Below are 20,209 nucleotides of genomic sequence, written 5' to 3' on the forward strand. Positions count from 1 at the left end.
AAAAGCCTGGGAAACATAGTGAAGCCCTGTCTGTACAAAAAATACAAACATTAGCTGGGTATAGGTGTGTGTACCTATAGTCCCAGCTATTTGGGGAGCTTGAGGCTTACTTGAGGAGGATCACTTGAACCCAGGAAGTCAAGGTTGCAGTGAGTTGAGGTTGTGCCATTGTGCTCCAGCCTGAGTGACAAAGTGAGACCCTATCTCAAAACAAACATGTGTACAAAATGTGTGTGTATGTATATAGGTGTGTATGTTTATGTATGTATGTATGTACACACACACACGTTTTAACCTACACAGTGAAATATACAGACGTCCACTTACATACATATTCCCATGCACATATCTACACATACACATACGGTTTTTGACTGTTGATTTCTATGAGTGTTAACAATCATTATTCAGCCAACCTACTTTCATTTGTACCTTTTTACTACCCATAGTCCCTAATCCACTGAAGTATTTTAAAGCAAACCCCAGACATCATATTATTTCACCAATATATTTTCCATTATGAATCTAACAGATAAGGAGGCAATACCATTATTGCAAATAACAAAACTCTAGTGTTTCCTGAATGCCATATAATATTCATTCATTGTTCAAATTTCAGAAAGTGTCAACAAATATTTTTTGGTCTTAGGTTGTTTTTTCTGATCCCTTCTTTGTTTTTCTTGTCATCTATTGGTTATAGAAATCCAGGTTATTTGTTCTGTGGGATTTACCACATTCTGAATAAAGTTAATTACTGTTCAAGCTGTCTTTTGTGGTTCCAATGATACAGACAGAAGACAGAGAAATACTGGGTAGGAGAGGATGGCTCCCTCGCAAAGGCCCTACCCTCAAGCCTGGAAACCCGTGGCCCTAAATGGGAACATGTATTCCTGTTTTCCTACCCAAATGTTGCCTTTTGGCCCACCACGTCCCCCTATCCTGTAACCATATAAACCCCAAACCCAGGTTCCAGGAGCAGACAAGCAAACAAACAGAAGAACAGAGGAGCAGAAGAGTGTCACGGCAGAGAAGGAGAGAAGAGTAGGAGCTTCTGAACTTAGAGGCTGGGGGAAGTCAGAGAGGAGATTGGTCACAGGATTACCAGGGGAAGATCATCTTCCTATTCCAACCCCTTTCAACTCCCCATCTATCCTATTGAGAGCCACCTCCATCTGGCAATAAAATTTCCTGCATTTACCATCCTTCAATTTGTCCGTGTGACCTGATTCTTTCTGAATGCGGGACAAGAACCTGGGTACCAAGAGGGCACTGAGCTGGTTAACACTTGAGCTGTCTGCAGACAGCAGAGCTAAAAGAGCACTGTAATATGACTGCTGGGGCTTCGGGAGCCACAAGAACCCACCCGTAGACACTACCATGGGGCCAGAGCCCCAAAAGTGCTCACTTTGGCTCCTGAACTTGCCCATCTGCATGCTTCCCCTCCCCTAAGGGGTTTGAGCACACAGAAGCCAAACAAACAAGCCACAGCCCTCTTGCACGTCCTGCAGGGGGCATCAGGGAACTCTCCCATTTCACCAGTACCTTGACTGTCATCTGTAAAGACTTGATCACATAAGTCCCAGAGAAGGTACCACTGAAAGCAACGATGTGCTAGTGGGGATGCTGGTGCCTCCCCCTAAGTGACCTCAGGACACACTCCAAACTCTTTTGTCTTCTTTTTGTGATGTTATCATTGGTAAGTCACTTAGTGTCAGACATATTAGAATATATTTTAAATAAGTAAATCACTATAGATTCAGGAAAATTCATTTTATATCTCGCTCACATCCTTTTACTCCCTTCTCTGATGGTAACACATACTGTGTAATTTTATAGATGTGTGTCTGATAAAATATAGTGAATTTTTATAATTTTATATAAGCAGTCTATTATGTATATGTTTTTGTATCAAGATTTTATTTCAACATCTTTCTTAGATTTATCAAGATACATATATAAATATAAAACTATTTATAGAGATACATCACACATTATGCATCCATTAAACTCTCAAATTTTAAATTTAAAAAATTATTATTAGAAATCAGACTGAAATTAACATACTTGTGCTTATATCCTTGTGAATATGTTACCCATTTAATCTTTGGTATCTCCAAAAGAGTAGAAATTGTGAGATCATAGAAAAATCTACTATTTTGTTTTGTTTTTCGGGTAATGCTAAATAATTATCCAGTGATTATACTTACCTATCTGACCAAACACAGCATATTATGATTCTTATTAATCTACATTCTGGCCAGATATGTTTGTTTCACATCATTATCAAATTGTTGAATCTGCCTTCCCCAATTACTAGGTGAACTGATAATTCATATGTCATTAATGCTTTTGTACTCTACCTTCATAGTTGTTCCATGTTTCCAAGCATTCAGGCAGAGAGGAGGAAACTCCCCTGCCCTTAGGGAGATAATGCTTCCATCCCCACACACAGCAGCTGCCCAGACTCTCATGGGTTGTCTGCCTCTCACCTCTGTGTATCTTTAATAGGAAGTGGCCACATACCAGGATAAACCATTGAATTATTATTAGCAAAGTGCTGTGTTCAAAGAGGAGTCTATATTCACTATAGTAATCGTTGAGAAATGGAGCTGATGCCCCTGGGTCGTGAGCAAAGAGAAATCCATGCCATCTTTTCTCTTTACCTCAAGCAACCATAACAACTAGCTTCCTGACAGATCAGACAGTGAGGCTATTCTCTGTATTATACATTGAAAAGATAACTCAGGGGCTGAAGCCAATTCGAAGCCAGTTTGTAAAGCCATTCTCTTTCAGAACGGCTGCTCAAACCCGTTCTAAGGAGAGGGGTGCCTTGCACCAGTCAGTATGGCAGCACAATGGCAGCTTTGCAGCAGGGTGAGGGTTAAAGAAACCAACATACTTTGGGCTGCAACACTGCAAAAAGCAGCCATGAAAGGTTGGGGAACCTTTCAGACCCCCTGTTCTTCTACCATTACCTTCCCAGAAGGCAAGATAAGAGGAGGAACTTGCAGGAGTGGAGAAGAAGCTTTCTTCTGCCCCATTTATTGTTTACCTGACCATTTGTTGCAGGCTCTTGCTAGTGTTAAAACACCAATTGTTCCTGACATTTCTCCGTTTCCAGCTATTGTGTGTTGTCTAATACATCTCATCCCCATCTTGGACAAAGAGACCATTGATGTAACAACACAGACTTTCCAAGGTGCCATCATGAGCCATGGATTCTCTCTCAAATATCTGTTTCCCTGCAAAAGGATGATCATTATAGTTTATCACCCATAAAGCTACCTCCAGAGCTCTAAAACATAGCGCTCTGCGGAGCAGCCCTGCTTGTCTTTGGGGCTTCGGAAGCAGTGAAACCTTTCCTTCTCTGTACTCTCGCAGCACAGTCATTGTAGGGCAGGGCTGATCGCTGCATGTTTTCAGTTCCTTCTTGAGTATATAATCGACTGTTAAGAATGTGAAGTACTGGCAACATCACCCAGAGTGTCAGCCTTCATCCAATCTGGGAAAAAATAAGCAGTTCCCCTGCTTCTAGTGGGTTTCATCAAGAGGTCAATGGGTCTGTCTTGTGGCAATGCCTCTCAAAACCTTCCCCTTGAACTATTCCTCCAAGCAGAGGAAAGGGAAGTGGGACCACTGAGATACAGGGGTGGCTGGCAATGAAGCTTCAGAAAAAGTGAAATTCATATGTGAACATTTATATCTCATCTGTAAATGTTATCTGGATTTTGTACTGTGTGCCATTATACATTCACCTTTTTAGAAAAATAATATTTTATGTAACCTTTCTTCAAGTAAAATGAGTTATCCCTGAAAGTTCACCATCTCTATCTTGTGGCTTCCTGTTCTTCCTGTGTGTGTCTTACTTTGAAAATTAAGAACTTAGGGTTCTTAGCCTCTCTTACTTAAAAATACTCCTTGAGTGGCAGATAATGGATTGGTTTATCAGTCAATTACAGGTTGGTATGAATAATCTTGATAGTTCCTTTCTAATAAAGTGTTAGTGTAGGAAAAAGGGTGGTGAAATTACGAGGATTCTGTTGAAGTGGGAGTGGAGAATGGATATCACTGAGCGAGGACACAGTGGCAAAGGGCTGAGCAGGAAAACCACTGAATGATTGGGAAGCAAGATGTATTCAGTGTAGTTTAAGGAATCAGTACTGCAGATGAAAAGCTGGCCTTTCTGTTAATAGGTACCAATTTAATAACTGCTATAGAATCAGTTATTTAATTTTACCCGTTGTATTTCCAATCATAATTTGCAATAAAATAGGACATATACCCAACCTAAAATGAAATGGGAGCTAAAAGGAAACAGATATCGACCTTTCTCTTTTATTTCTGTTTCATAGCTGAAAATCCAATGTAAGAGCGAACCCTGAAGTCGCAGCATTCAGGTCTCTGGCGCATGACTTAATGTTCATTAACAATTGCACTGAATCTTGTTCAAATGATTCTCTCCTGCTGAATTGTTCTCATTCCTTAATTGGCTTTGTTGTTATTGCTTATATGCTTGAATCAAATTACAATACGTGTCACCTATGAAAGTCTCTCAGATAATAGATCTGGTAGCCATTGTGTATTTTGTGATCTTCACAATACAACAGAAGTTGGGCATCAATTTGTGCTACAAAATCTGGCACACGGAAGCCCACATTCAAGTATATTGTGCACTGAAGAAGAATGTTTAGAAGGAGCACCTGGGACCCATCTATACCAGCTCTTCTCAGTTCGTCTGTGCTTTTGCTATGTATGCATTTACTTAATGCAACTTCAGAAAGTTGACCATTACAGAGCAGTGCACCTCTCCTTAGCCCAGTCAGCATGTCCTTTCCCCTTCTATTCTACTTTGTTATAGCAAAATAGCTTGCCAATTACAAGTGCACAGTTAAGCAGAAGCCTAGCCACTCATATAGCTACAATTGTCCCCAGATTGTGTATTTTTACAACGTGCAAGTTCTGATAGTAATCTTCAGAAGTACTCAGAACACAGAAAGAATATAACTTTAAACATTAAATACTATTAAAGGCTTAGTTAGAACCTATCTTAGTGAAAATTATTCAGAACTTAGAATGTAAAATATTTCAGAATTGTTTGTCAAAGGCAAAATTATGGAGTGAAATATATGATATGAATGGCTATTTGTTGAAGAAGTGACTGGTAAAACCAGAGCAAATGAAGATGTCAGTTTACATATGGATATAACATGTTCCATGTGGTGGTTTTCATTCTAGGATTTCAAATACAATTTTTTATAAGGAGCTCGTAGTTTTCAATGATGGTTGAGTGGGTCAGGAGAAGGCAAAGTGATGTAGTTCAGTAGATCTCAGCATCAACTGCAGGCTGGAATCATGTAGAGAATTTTAAATACCACTGTTGGGAGTTGCACCCCACAGGTCTGGTAAGTGGGAGACTAAATATTGTGTTTTTAAAAAACCTCCCAGGAACTTTTAATGTGCAGAAAACTTTGAGACTCACCATATACAGTCCAATTCACACATATTGAGCAGTCATATTCCCTGGTCTATTTTTCTTGTTCCAAAGCCAAGGCTCAAATGTAACTGCCATTTATGACTTTCATTTTGCCAGAGGTCTTCCATGCCCTCATTCACTATTCTCAACTGACTGAGAGTAGTTTCCCAGAACTAAGCTTCTCATGCTTTCCTGGGATTAGGAGTCACCACTGGATGTTATTAAAGTGCAGGTTCCATTTCTGGAGGTCTGGGGTGGGGCCCACACCACAGCACCACTAACAAGCCATCAGGGGATGCTGGGCTCATGGTCCAGGAACCACATTTTGAGTGGCCAAAACCTAGAATGTATTTAACGATCCCTCTTTCTAAACACCATTAAAATGTTTTTTGAATACATTTCTATTAAATTGTGAGGGGGGAACCTTGAATAAACTGTCCATTTATAACCACCAAATTAATTACTATTATGTGGATGTCTGGGTTTCATACTGTTTATATGCAGTGTAAGTATAACAACCATTTCAATGAAATCCTGTCATTTGTGAATCAAATTAACAGGGCAGCTTTCTTGTCTCAGAATTCTGATATGACCCACTCATCAGATCAACATGATGCCACTCTGCACTGCGTGATACCTGATGTCTTCCCCTTCAAGCTGCTGTCATGAAATACCATAGAATGGGTGACTTATCAACAATAGAAATTTATATCTTGCAGATCTGGAGACTGGGGAAGTCCAAGATCAAGGCTCCAGCAGATTCAGTATCTGGTAAGAGACCATTTCCTCATAGATAACCATCTTCTCAGTGTATCATCACATATTCGAAGGGGCATAGAAGCTCTGTGGGGTCTCTCTTATGAGGGCTCTAGTCCCATCAGCAAAGGCTCCCCTTTTATGACTTAATCTTCTCCCAAAGACCACCTCCAAATACCATCGCACTGAGCATACGGTTTCAACATAAGAGTTTTGGCTTCAACTTATGAGGGATACAAACTACCAGTCCTATAGCACCTGTTATGATTATGAATCTCAGCCCACAGATACACGTGTATAAGAAATACACCTTTGTTTGCTGTCACTCCACATAATGCAGTCTCAATTACCAATTCACCAGCCAGGTAGGAGACTTTGTGCTAGCTCCTTGGGATGTGACCCCTGCTCCCAAGGCTTATGCCATAACTCTGGGCCTTTCTCATGCCAAGGCACCTGGTGGTGAGAGAAGAGACCCACAGTTACACAAAACAGCATCAGTTTCCCAAACAGCATCCCGTAGCTCTAGGAGCTACAGCTGTGGGGCAGATGGCTGACTACACACCCTATATGCTTTGCTTGATTGACTGATTTACAATACTCACTGTGGAGAATATCTACATTCTTAATTATTCTCATTTGTTACAGTTAATTCCAAATAAAATAAACAATAGTACCATGGTGGCCATTCTTTCATACACATCTCAGAGCACTGGGCCAATTTCTGCCTTAGCAGGTGTAATGGCTGGGTCAGAGGATGTGCACACAGAATGGCGTTTGCTAGGAGATGTAACGAGACCGCCAAAAAGTCTCCATCATTTCAGACACTCCTCAGCGGTTTCAGGGGGCCAGTTCCAACAGCCTCACCTTAGAAGCTAGTAAGCCAACACGGGTTAGCTTTCTGTTTGTTTTCTAACCTAATAATAAATAATGTGAAAGAACAAAGGTTTAGTTCATTTTATTATTTAAATTTGTTGTTGGGTAATTTCATAATAACATAATAACATACTGTTATTGATACGGGAGAGTTCCCTTATCCCGCTTGCAGGACGTGCCAGGGGTGTGGCTCACTTGCTCAGTGCCCCACTGCTCAAACCCCTGGGGAGAGCATGCAGGCAGGCAGGAGCAGAGGGTGTGGGGAATGCTTTTGGGCTCCCACCTCGCGGAAGCGTCTGGCAGTGAGAGTTTACGACTCCTGAAGCCCCCGTGGGTGTGTGTTACAGCGTGTTCTTTCAGCTTTGCAGTCTGCAAACGGCTTGCGTTAATCAGCTCAATTAGGCCCTCTGCCTTATTGCAAGGGCAGAGGGCTTTCTGTATCCCGAGTTTTTGCCCAGTGTACCAGAAAAATCAGATCACACGTGGGCTTGGAGGGTGAGGCTCTCAGCAAGGGGAATGGAGTGGGAAGATGGTCTCCCCTGGAGTTGGGCGGCCCGGAAGCAGGACTCTTCTCCGACTGCCCCAGCTGAACTCCCCTCCGCGTCCACGTTCTTCTGCCGTCTGGTCTTCCGGGTGTCTGCTGGTGTCTGCCAGGGTCTGCTGGTGTCCCCACTGGTGTCCGCTGGTGTCTGCCGCTGTGTTCCTCTGCTCTTCTTGATGTCGAGCCGCCTGTATTTGTGCCTACCAGGTCTCAGGTTACTCTGGGAACAGGATGGGGGGCGTGGCGGGCCAAAAGGCAACTTTTTGGGCATGAAAACAGAAATGCCTGTCCTCACATAGGCCTGTGGGCACAGGACCCAGGGTGGAGTACTCACCGGGGACCCCGCCCTTCACTACCCAGCACTTCCCCGGCCCCCTCCCGTATTTTTATGAGCTGAATTGCATCTTCTCCTCAAATTCCTATATGGAACTCCTAACCTCCAGTACCTCAGACCTTGTTTGAGATAGAGACTTTAAAGAGGTGATTAAGTTAAACTCGATAGTGTCAGTAAGGAGGGCCCTAATCCAATATGACTGCAAGAGGAAATTTGAACACAGACACACACACATAGGAAAGCTTTTGTAAAGACACAGGGAGAAAAATAGCCACCTATAAGCCGAGGAGAGAGGCTCCAGAAGAAGCGAATTCTGCCCACGCCTTGATCTCAGGCTTGCAGCTTTCAGAACTGTGAGACGACAGACACATTTCTGTGGTTTAGGCTCCTGGTCCGCTTTACATTGCTAATGCGGCATAGCAAACTGATACATATGCATTCGTAGTTTTTCTACTAGCACTTCATCATTTGTTATTTGAAAAGTTGTCATGAAAATGCAAATATTGGTGTCTATTATCTATTCACTTCATCATGCTTTATCAATGTTTGAATTTAAAAATTTGGAAATGAAAATTAACTAATTGTTTTCTTTAAGGTTTTAACCTTTAGTGTTATACTTAGAAAATCCTTATCATGTTATCCTCTATGAACTTCTATTTTTCCTCCTAGAACTTTTATGATTTACTACTTTATATTTAAATCCGTAATTACCATGTTTAAATCTTTAATCAGTCTCTAATTCTTGTTTTTTCCCCCATATCAACAGCAGATGTTACCATTTAAAAAAATCCTCTGGTAATCTTATTATTTAAGTTTGCCCAACCCACAATTGTTTATTTAGTAATTTTGAATCAGAGACAGAACAGCAAAATAAGGCAACATCGCTTCCTCAAAGGAAAGATACTTTATCAGGGGACATGGCTATCTACACAGGCAACTGGAATACAAATCAGATTGAGATATGTGCTATGTAGAGATGGGAGCATCTCTTGTGGGCACAGAAGGAGGGTGACAGGAGCAGAAATCTCCACAGCAGTAGAGTTTGAGATCAGCCTCAAAAAAAGAGAAAAGAAAGAAAGGGGGAGGGGAGGGGAGGGGAGAAGAAGCCAGGCAAACATAATGAAAGGAGTTCTATGCTAAGGAAACTTAAGGAAACTTATTTCATGGAGGCTTCAGGCTTTAAGAAGCACGGCCTCAGATAATGCAAAAAGGGTTCTTCCATCTTGGACCTTGGACGTCGTGTTTCTGGATTATTGGGGATGTGTGGGTTGAAGAAAGAGGAGGAAGCAAAGATGTAATCAAGTTATGGAGAACCATTAATGATGTACTTCGCCATTTGAATTTATCCTATAGCTAAAGGAAAACCATTGAATGACTATGAAGCAAACACAATTCAACTGTCTTTTTCTAAGGAATTAGTACTAGAAATGAAAAATGCCCTTAATGTTAAATGATGGCAATTTTAGTAGCTTCTTTAACTAAAGTTATTTTAATTTTACAATTCACATTTCTAATTACAATTGGCAATTAAAAGTGGGGCATATTCCCAAACCTAAAAGGAGATGTGATCTAATAGGAAACAGATATGAATGAGTGATGTGAATACAAGGTCTCTCTACCTTTCATGAAGTTGCCACAAACAACCTGACCTAGAAGTTCAGCTCATGGAGAAGGGGACATGGAGCTTGTTAAAGGCTGTAGATATGTTTAATGGTCACATATGAATGATAGAAAAAGCATCAATCTGTAGATTAGACACTGTAAAGCTGTAGAGGACAGAAGTTCTTTGCACGTTGAGAAAGCACCAATTTTTAACACAGTTGTGGTTTCGGGAATGTGTGGGAGAACAGTGGGGTTAGGGGCTCAGGTTGCAAATGGCCTCAACAGTCCAACTACAGAGACCATATTATTCAGTAGACACATGATGATCCAAGCATCCTCCTCTCCTTTCTTCAGAGGCCAACACTTGCCAGGTCATGAATAAAAAGGGGCCAGAGTGTATTGAACAGCCCTCCAGCATGTGCCCAGTCTTGGCACTTGCTCTTCAGGTCCACATGCCCCTCCCAGCCAACATCTGATCCTCTCCTCCTGCCTACCCATTCCTGCCCTTCCAGCTCCTCCCTGGCCCCTCAGTGCCTTTTCCACTTTGCCCTCCCTCATCCTCTCTCTATCCTTCCACTTAACTAACAGCCCCCTGCCCCTCCCTGAGCCATTGCCCTTTCCCTGGTGATGAAGCCACACAGAATGCTTCCAAGGTGGGGAGATCTGGCCTGCCTTGATTGTGCTTCCTTAACTCCCTGTAGCACCACCAACCCAAGGCCCTACAGGTGCATCAGGGCACACCCACTTCCTAGTGTTTTCTCCTGTTCACATCCCCATGACTCGGGGAGCAAAGGCAATTCCTCAACTTCTGCTGGGTCAGGCTCTACCCATCTTTCCAGAAATGTCTCTCAAAACACATCAGCATGGGCTTGCTCTATAACCCATATCTTCTCCCAGAAGCAAGCGTACCAGTCAGACCCCAGATGTACTCTGGCGTTGCAGGTGCTAGAATGTTCCATAAAGGGTTTTGACATTCCAGTTCCAGCTGCAGAGCCTAGGGCTGACAGAGATGCTAGGGACAATCCCTATCCAGCCCTGTCAGAGATCAGGGCCCCTTATCTCTGCCCCTAGTCAAATGTGAGTTACAGCATGCATGCTGTTGTGTACTTCCAAATGCTTCAATGGAGACTGACAAATTAGACACACATACACACATACACACACAAACACCTGTCAAAAACAATTCTCAAAGGTGGTAGAAATTGTTTTCTACCATAATTTTCATGGTTGTATCTGACAGTTGATTTTTTTCAAGTAAATGAGTAATTAGTGTTATTTTCTTCATCCCATGCTATGAAATCCTACCCTTCTGTCTGGCCAGAAATGAGATGCAGAACCACTGGGGTTCATTGACTTGCAATGGGTCCCTTTCTCACTTGCAGGAAACCTGGTTGGGGCTTCAACAGGAACACCTGCAAGGACCAGCTGACTTCCTGCCCAGACACCCTTGCATTCTCAGCCTCTGCCTGGGAGGAGGAAGAGGCACTTCCACATTTCTTGTGACAGGTAGTTTGGAGCCAATGAAAGCTTCCAGCCATGGAAGTGCCATGATCAAATTGGTATCAAACAAAGGAACTTCCCAGTTGCAGGGTGTAGTAGAGGCTTCAGGGAAGGGGGTTTGGAATGAAATAATTTGGGAGACTGTAACCATGGAGCTGAACTGGGATAAGTACTAGGTGGCCTATCTGAAATTCAGAAGACTCACTGGAGCTACAGATGTTAGTATTGGGTGATGTGTTATGAAGACCCCCCACCTCCAGCTCACTGTCAAATGCAGACACCCACTCACCTATGTGTGGAGGTTTGTCCTGCACAGACACTGCTGTTGACCCAGCCCACCTGCAGCCTCCTGGACACCTGAGGGCCACTGGCATAGTCAAGGCAAAAGCCTTGGGCCGCACTCCCATCTGCTGTAGCTGCCACAGGTTCCCCATCTCAGTGGCAGTTGGTTTCCAGGTGCTCATCCCTTCCTGGCATTGCTAGAGGCTTAGAGGCGGCTGTTTCATGGAGCCTGGTATGTCTCTTGTGAGAAAACATGCGACATTTCTTGCTTGTCTGAACCAACACACCACACTCCCTTGTTAGAGACAATGACATGGCTAGAGAATAATTGAGGTTAGCAAGACTCACTTCTTCTGTCATGCCTGGACAGCGGTTCTGCTCTTCCTTTTACTTTTTTTCCTGTAGACTTAAACTAGAAGTCACAGCAGTAGCTAATCATGTTGAAAAAAAATCCTCAATATTTGGATTTTGCTTTTGAATGTATTAAATGTGGTCAGTGGGACCCACACTTTCTTGATGACCTTCCATGAGAAGGAATTCTCTGATCTTGTTGAATAGTTTAAGCCTTATATTTGCAAGAGGCTAAATAATATTCTAGGAAAATAAAATGTTGTTTGAAAAGCAATCATTTATTATAAGTTTGTCAGCTGAGGAAGATAACTAGCATTTTGTTGTGGCCAGGAATGTATATGAGCCAGGAGGACTAATATGATACTACCCTGGAAGTCAGAGCTTGAAGTTTAGTTACTGTGGAGATCACCCATCTCTCACCTGGAATGCATTTCTGACAATTAACATTAATGGTTGCCATTGTAGTTTTGGTCCCTGGGTAGATATCACAGAGAATCTGTGTTCAGGAATTTACACAGAAAATACATCTTGGGGTCAAGTATTTCCATGCCTGAGCCCCACACCCAGAGATTTTTGGTTTACCTGGTCTGTGACTAGTACTGGATATTAGAAGGTTAAAAAGGTTTAACTAGGATTATGAGTCCCTGATTTCATGCCAGGTGGGTATTGAGTGTCAGGCAATTGTTCCAAAGATTCTTTTTGTCTTCTGAGACTTGATTCCAAAACTAATTAAAAATAGTAACAATAGTATGGCAATTCTGTTCACACATACTCTTCAAGTTTCCAATTCGCTTTGGAGAAATGAGCTTTCTAGGTTCAATGAGATGTCTACTAAGTTCACGTACCTTTCCTCTCTCCAAGGATGTCCTTACTTTACCCATATAAGAAGCAGAATTCCTAGGGAATCAAAAGGACCCCAAAGAGTTAATAATTTCCCCAAGGCCCTGAGGCCATCTGAGGGCTGACCCAAAAGCCTCAGGTCTCTCCACCACCACACAGTTTTTCGACTTGTCAACTGAAAAGATTACACTGGGTCGCTGTGCCTTTGCCTCCCAACTTGCATTCTCTACCAACAGTTTCCCCACATCATGATCATTGGAGACATTTACAGATGTGTGTTTGTCCTCCTTCCCAGGGCATGGCAGGGCTATATTTCCTTGCCCCTTTAGAAGTTGGCTGACTGGTGCATATCTGATTTCGCCATTGCCATGTGAGTGGAAGGAAACGCAGAACTGCCGGGCAGACACCCTAAATGCCAGCATGTCACTTCCCACGTCCTCCCTAACCTGTTGCAGCAAGTGTGGTAACTTCTACCAGGATGTAGCTTTTGCTTTCATTAGCCCAGATGGTGAAAATAAGTAATTCAGAATCTAAGTTATTGGAACTCTACAGTTTTTTTGAACCTTAAAGCAATGTAAATTACTTTAAGGCCCAAGTCATGTGACAGGCAGTTGTAAGCTGTTGTTTATCTGAATTAAGTCTTTTACCTGCATTATTTTGTAAAATGATGTAAATGGTGAAGGATGCCAGGGAAGATCCTTCCTTCTTCCTGTTGACTTTCCTTATAGATTAACTTCCCTCTTATCATTCATTTTTTACTTTTTTAATTTTTGTGAGTACATAGTAGGTGTGTATATTTATGGGGTACATGAAATGTTTTGATATAGTCATGCAATGCATAATAATCACATCATAGAGAATGGGATATCCATCCTCTCAAGCATTTATTCTTTGTGTTACAAACAATCCAATTATACTATTTTAGTTATTTTAAAATGTACAATTAAGTTATTATTGATTATAGTCACCCTGCTGTGCCAACAAATAGGTTTTATTCATTATTTCTATTATTTTTGTACCCATTAATCATCCCCACCTCTCCTCCACCCCTCACTACCCTTTCCAGCCTCTGGTGACCATTCGTCTACCCTGTATCTCCATGAGTTCAACTGTTTTAATTTTTAGATTCCACAAATAAGGGAGAACATGCAGTGGTTGTCTTTCTGTGTCTGGCTAATTTCACTTAACATAATGATCTCCAGTTCCATCTATGTTGTTGCAAATGACAGCCTCTCATTCTTTCTTATAGTTGAATAGTACTCCATTGTGTATATGTACCACATTTTCTTTATCCATTCATCTGTTGATGGACACATAGGTTGCTTCAAATCTTGGTTATTATGAACAGTGCTGCGGTAAACATGAAAATACAGAAATCTCTTTGATATACTGATTTCCTTTCCTTTGAGTATATACCGAGCAGTGGGATTACTGGATCATATAGTAGCTGGATTTTTTTGTTGAGGAACCTCCAAACTTTTCCCCATAATAACTGTATTAACTTAAATTCCCAATTTCCACATCCCTAGTGGCATTTATTATTGCCTGGCTTTTGGCTATAAGCCATTTTGCCATTTTAACTTGCGTGAGATGATATCTCATTGTAGTTTTGATCTGCATTTCCTTGATGATCAATGATCTTAAGCATCTTTTCCTATGTTTGCCACTTGTATGTCTTATGCCTTATTTTCAGAAATGTCTATTCAGACCTCTTGTCTATTTTTGATCGGATTATTGGATTTTTTCCTGTAGAGTTGTTTGAGCTCCTTATATATCTGGTTATTGCCCTTGTCAGATGGTTAAGTTGCAAATATATTCTCCCATTCTGTGGGTTGTCTCTTCACTTTGTTGATAGTTTCCTTTGCTGTACAGAAGTTTTTTAACTTAATGTGATATCATTTGTCTATTTTTGATTTGGTGCTGTGCTTTTAGGGTATTACTTAGGAAATTTTTGCCCAGGCCAATGTCCTGAAGATTTTCCCCAAAGTTTTCTTAGTCTGCAGAAAGTTTGATAGTCTGCAGACTTTAATTTAAGTCTTTAATCAATTTTTATTTGATTTTTGAATATGACAAGAGATAAGGGCCTCATTTTCTGTGTGTGTGTGTGTGTGTGTGCGTGTGTGTGTGTGTGCATATGGATATTCGGTTCTCCCAGCATCATTTATTAAAAAGACTGTCCTTTTCCTAGTGTATGTTCTTGGCACCTTTGTCAAAAATGAGTTCACTGTAGGTGCGTAGATTTGTTTCTGGGTTCTCTATTCTGTTCTGTTTTTCTGCCAGTACCATGCCATTTTGGTTACTATAGCTCTGTAGTATGATTTGAAGTCAGGTAATGTGATTCCTCCTTTTTTTTTTTGCTTAGGGTAGCTTTGGCTATTCTAGGTCTTTTGTGGTTCTATATGAATTTTAGATTTTTTTTTCTATTTCTGTGAGGCATTTCACTGGTAGTTCAATATGGATTGCATTGAATCTGTAGGTTGCTGTTGGTAATATGTATAGTTTATAAATATGGATTCTTCCATCCCATGAACATGGAATACCATTCCATTTTTTTGTTGTCCTCTTCAATATCTTTCATCAGTGTTTTACAGTTTTCATTGTAGAGATTTTTCATTTCCTTAAGTTAATTCTTAGATATTTAATTTTATATGTGGCTAATGTAAATGGGATCAGTTTTGATTTCTTTTGCAGATCGTTCCCCATTGGGCATATAGAAATGCTACTGATTTTTTATATGTTGATTTTGTATCCTGCAACATAATTGAATTTGTTCATTAGTTCTAAAAGTTTGTGGTGTGTTTGTGTGTGTGTGTGTGTGTGTGTGTGTGTGTGTGTGTGTGTGTGTGTGTGTGAAGTCTTCAGGTTTCTCCAAATATAGGATCATATAATCTGCAAGCAAGGATAATTTGATTTCTTTCTTTCCAATTGGGATGCCCTTTATTTCTTTCTCTTGTGTGATTGCTCTAGCTAGGACTTCCAGTACTATGTTGATAACAGTGGTGAAAGGGGGCATCCTTGTCATGTTCCAGATCTTAGAGGAAAGGCTCCAGTTTTTCCCCATTCAGTATGATACTAGCTGTGTCATATTTAGCATTTATTGTGTTGAGGAATGTTTCTCCTATACCCATTTTTTAGAGTTTTTGTTATGAAGGGATGTTAAATTTTATCAAATACTTTACAGCATCAATTGAAATGATCATCTGGTTTTTATTCTTCATTCTGTTGATATTATGTTTCACACTGATTGATTTGCATATGTTAAGCCAACCTTGCATCCCAAGGATACACCCCCCTTGGTTAAGATTAATGATCTTTCTACATGTATTGATTGCAGTTAATGCTGGTATTTTGTTGAGAATTTTTGCATCAATATTCATCAGAGATATTGGCCTGTAGCTTTCTTTTTTTGATGTGTCTTTGTCTGGTTTTGGTATCAAAGTAATATGGCCTCGTAGAATGAGTTTGGAGGTATTGCTTTCTCCTCAGTTTTTTGGAATAGTTTGAATAGGGTTGGTATTAGTTCTTCTTTAAATGTTTGGTATAATGCAGAAGTGAAGCCATCAGGTCCTAGGATTCTTTATTGGGAGAATTGTTATTAAGGCTTCAATCTCATTACTTTTTATTGATCTGTTCAGGTTTTGGATTTATTTCTGGTTAAATCCTAGTAGGTTGTATGTGTCTAGGAATTTCTCCATTTATTCTAGATTTTCCAATTTATTGGCACATAGTTGCTCATAGTAGCCTCCAATGGTCCTTTGAATTTCTGAAGTCTCAGTTGTATTGTCTCCTTTTTCATTTCTGATTTTATTTATTTGGGTCTTCTCTCTTTTATTCTTAGTTACTCTGGCTAAGGATTTGTCAATTTTGTTAAACTTTTTTAAAAAATCAATTTTTGTTGATCTTTTGTATTTTTTTATTTCAATTTTATTAATTTCTGCTCTGATCTTTATTATTAAAAGGACTTGGGTTTGTGATTTAAGCTGTGTCTACTTTAGGAGGCCCTCCATACCCAGTAATATTGTGGTTCTTGCAGACTCATATAGGTACCACCTTGACGGTCCTGCACAAGATCCGAGAGAATTCTCGGTATTACTAGGCAGAGACTCTTGTTCCCTTTTGTTACTTTCTTCCAAAGAAACAGTCTCTCTTTCTGTTCAGAGCTGCCTGAAGCTGGGTGTTGAGTGACACAAGCAGCCCTGTGGCCACCACCACTGTGACTGTGCTGGGTGAGTCCTGAAGCCAGCACAGCACTGGGTCTTGCCCAGGGCCTGCTGTGACCACTCCCTGGATACTGCCTATGTTCACTCAAGGCCCTCAGACTCTACAAGTGGTAAAGCCAGTCAGGTCTGTGTCCTTGCCTTCTTGGCAGCAAGTTCCCCAGTCCCCGGGCAGGTCCAGAGGCAAATTCGGGAGCCTGGGACTAGAGTCAAAAACCTTAGAAGTCTACCTGGTGTTCTACCGTACTGCAGGCTGAGTTGGCATTTAAACCACAAGACACAATCATTCCCACTCTTCCCTTCCCCCTTCCAGAGGCAGAGGAGCCCCATCCCATGGCCACCGCCACCACAGTTCTACAAGGGGTACTACTGCCAGCCTATGGCTAATGTTCTCCTTAAGGCCCAAGAGCTCTTGAGTCAACTTGTGAATGCTGTCTGGCTTTGGACTCACCCTTCAGGGAAGTGGGCTCTCCTCTGCCCCAGGGCAGGTCCAGAAATGCTGTCCAAGAGACAAGTTATTGTGTAGGGGACCCCAAAAGCCCAGGTGGTGCTCTGCTCCCCTGTGGCTGAGCTGGTATCTAAGGTACAAGACAAAGTCCCCTTTATTTTTCTCTCTGCTTTTCTCAAACAGAAAGAATCTCACCTCATAGCCACCACAGCTAGGAATGTGCTCAGTGTCAACTGATACCAGCAAGTCTCAGAGCTTCACTAAAGGCTCTCAACATAATACCTGGCTATCACTACTGGTTATTCAGAGGTCAAGTGCTCTTCCCTTAGCAGGTGATGAATCTTGCCAGGACAAGGTCCTTCCCTTCAAGGGAACAGGTTCTTTTCTGGCCGAGGGCATGTGTAGAAATGTTGTCCAGGAGCTAGGGCCTGGAAAGAGGACCTCACAACTCTGACTGGTGCCCTATCCTACTGTGGCTGAGCTGGTATCCATGATTCAAGACAGAGTCCTCTTTCTTCTCCCCTCTCCACTCCTCAAGTGGAAGAAAAGGGTCCCTTTTAGAGCCCATGAACTGTGCAGCTTGGGTTAGGAAAGTGGTGATGCCATACCCCCTTAGGTGCCCTGGTTAGTGTCTCAGTAGCTCATGTGTACCCAAGCTGTTGTTTCTGTGCCCAGCTCAGCACTAGGACTCCTATAATACTTGCAGTCCTTGTGCCTAGACTGCCTTTCAAGTTTATTAGGGCCCCAGAGCACTTTAGCCCACGGTGGTGAGGCTTTCAGGAACTTAAATTCACTGCTGGAACTGGTGATTCTATTTGACTAGGGCTGGTTTATATGTTCCCTCTGTAGGTGGGCATCAGTTGAGTTTCATCTGGTTTACCTTTCTGTTTTAACAGGACAGCATTGAGTTCATTGCCTCAAAATTGCTGCGCTCTCCTTCTGCCAGTGCCCAGAGATGCTCCCCACACCACACTGCACTGCTGGGGGATGTTAGAGGTGATTCAAGACAGTTTTTCCTACCTCTTCAGTGCCTCTTTCAGCAATATGAAGTTAAAACCAGGTACTATGAGAACTCACCTGATTTTTAGTTCTTATGAAGGTGCTTTCCTTGTGTAAATATTTGTTAAATTGTTTTCCTTGCCAGAGGAATGATCAGTGGAGCCTTCTATTCTGCCACCTTTCTCTGCCTCTCTCCAATCCTCTTACCTTTTTCACACAGCCTTCGTGGTTATCACAGAGACTTAAGATGGAATGTTAAATACACTCTTTTATATTGGAAATAAAATGAAAACCAGATATAAACAAATAAACAAGCCACGGAGAAAAGAAAACAAACTTTGAATAATTAATTTATTGTAACTCATAAGCCCAGCGTTGTATAAAAAATGTTGTCATCCTGTTATATTTCTTTGTCTTCTTCCTGTTAGCAAGAATTTGGCTTTTAACTTCTAAGCACTATCCCTGTTTCTCTGTAGTGGTGCATCCCAGAATGGCCATTCCTAGCTTTTTGATTAAATACTCTTTAAAATAGAAATCTGACCCTTTTGATTATTTCAGTTTGGCAGTGCGTTGATTATTACAGGTGCAGTATCTTTGCCAGACTTCACTGTATAACCTGGAAGCAAACGTGAATTGTTTAAAACCACTGAAATTTTAGAATTGTTTGTTGCTGAAGCACCACCAGTTTTTTTCTGACCGATGCACTGTCACTCAACTTCTGAAACTGCCATGGGGTATTTTGAAAATGTCTGGTGGCTTGCTGCGAGTAACTTAGTCTAATATGTGATGATGATGATCCTAATACAGTAATGTGTTTGAGTTACCAAAAAGAGATTATTTTTCTTGTGTTACACCTATAAAACATGTTTATGACTTTATTTGGCAATTTCTGGGATTTGGCCAATGTGATTTACAGATTTCAATGTGTTTCAGAGTTTTATGATTCTAGGGCTGAGAATAACAGATTTTCTAGGGATTTTGCCTATCCTGACAGCCATAAAAAAAGCAGCAGGATGTACTTTTGCAATCTAGTGGTCAGTTATTTGGGCATCAACGCCCACATAACCTGTATGAGAAGCTTCACAGAAAGTCAGTTTCTCCCACTGAGGTTTTATTTTATTGGGTTTAACATTTCATACCTGATATTTGGTTATTAGCTTATACATGTGGCAGTGAACTAAGTAGATGGCATTTAGCTGAGATCATAGGCACAAAATTACATTAAAAATTAAGATAGCAAGGTTCATTTACCATAGCTGCTTGCTAATGAAGATATATTACTAATGAAGAAATTTAGCTTGTAACAGGAACTTCCACCTGAGAGTGCAAAAAATACAGAAGCCACGAGTAAACTAAGACAAAGGCATGAGAAATTATTCCCAATTAAATATCAATCAGGTATTTTCTGAACCTCAGACTGCAAGAAAAAGTGTCCCTAGTTGTATAACCAAAGAATACAGGCACGGCTCTGTCTGATGTGATCCTAGACTAATTCGAATTTGAAGTTGTCAGTATACTCTCCCCAGTGTTCCCGTCCTTTCAAAATGCAATTGCTTATATCTTTGCTCTTGGTTCATGCCTTCTAAAATAGGGTGATACAAAACCAAACAGCACTCAAACTTTAGAATAACTGCTGTGACAGCAACAAACATGTTCTACATTTGTTCTCTTTCTTCTGCTGAAGTTTTGAAAATACTTTGACCTGCCAGAGTCAAAAAGCAGGGCCTATAACTTGTCTGATAGCTGGAACTGCATCTTTCTTGTTAACAGACTCCATGGTGTTTACTTGCATTCTAGAAGCACATGGTAAAATTGCAGGAAAAAGTCTTATCCTTTGGTTACTCACAGGAATGCTTTCAAGAATAAGCACAGCATAAAAAGTCATGAAATGGCAATCTCTGAGGCTGGTAAGTTGGAGACAGTAGTGTGCAAAACAGTGAGGCCAAATGAACAAATGAGGGTATGCCAGGGGCTCATGGAAGGCTAAAGTACT

General features: G+C 41.2%; 1 long non-coding RNA gene across 1 annotated transcript in view; it reads left to right on the top strand.

The window, feature by feature from the left end:
- Window positions 1–18,751, top strand: part of LINC02199 (long intergenic non-protein coding RNA 2199) — a 41,794-nt gene extending 23,043 nt beyond the window's left edge. The window contains exons 2-3 of the long non-coding RNA NR_109932.1: window positions 18,114–18,277; window positions 18,362–18,751. This is a non-coding gene — a long non-coding RNA (long intergenic non-protein coding RNA 2199). The remainder of the gene's footprint in view (window positions 1–18,113; window positions 18,278–18,361) is intronic.
- Window positions 18,752–20,209: the final 1,458 nt, after the last annotated feature.

The sequence above is a fragment of the Homo sapiens genome, chromosome 5 (assembly GCF_000001405.40).
Source record: "Homo sapiens chromosome 5, GRCh38.p14 Primary Assembly".
Taxonomy (NCBI): Eukaryota; Metazoa; Chordata; class Mammalia; order Primates; family Hominidae; genus Homo; species Homo sapiens.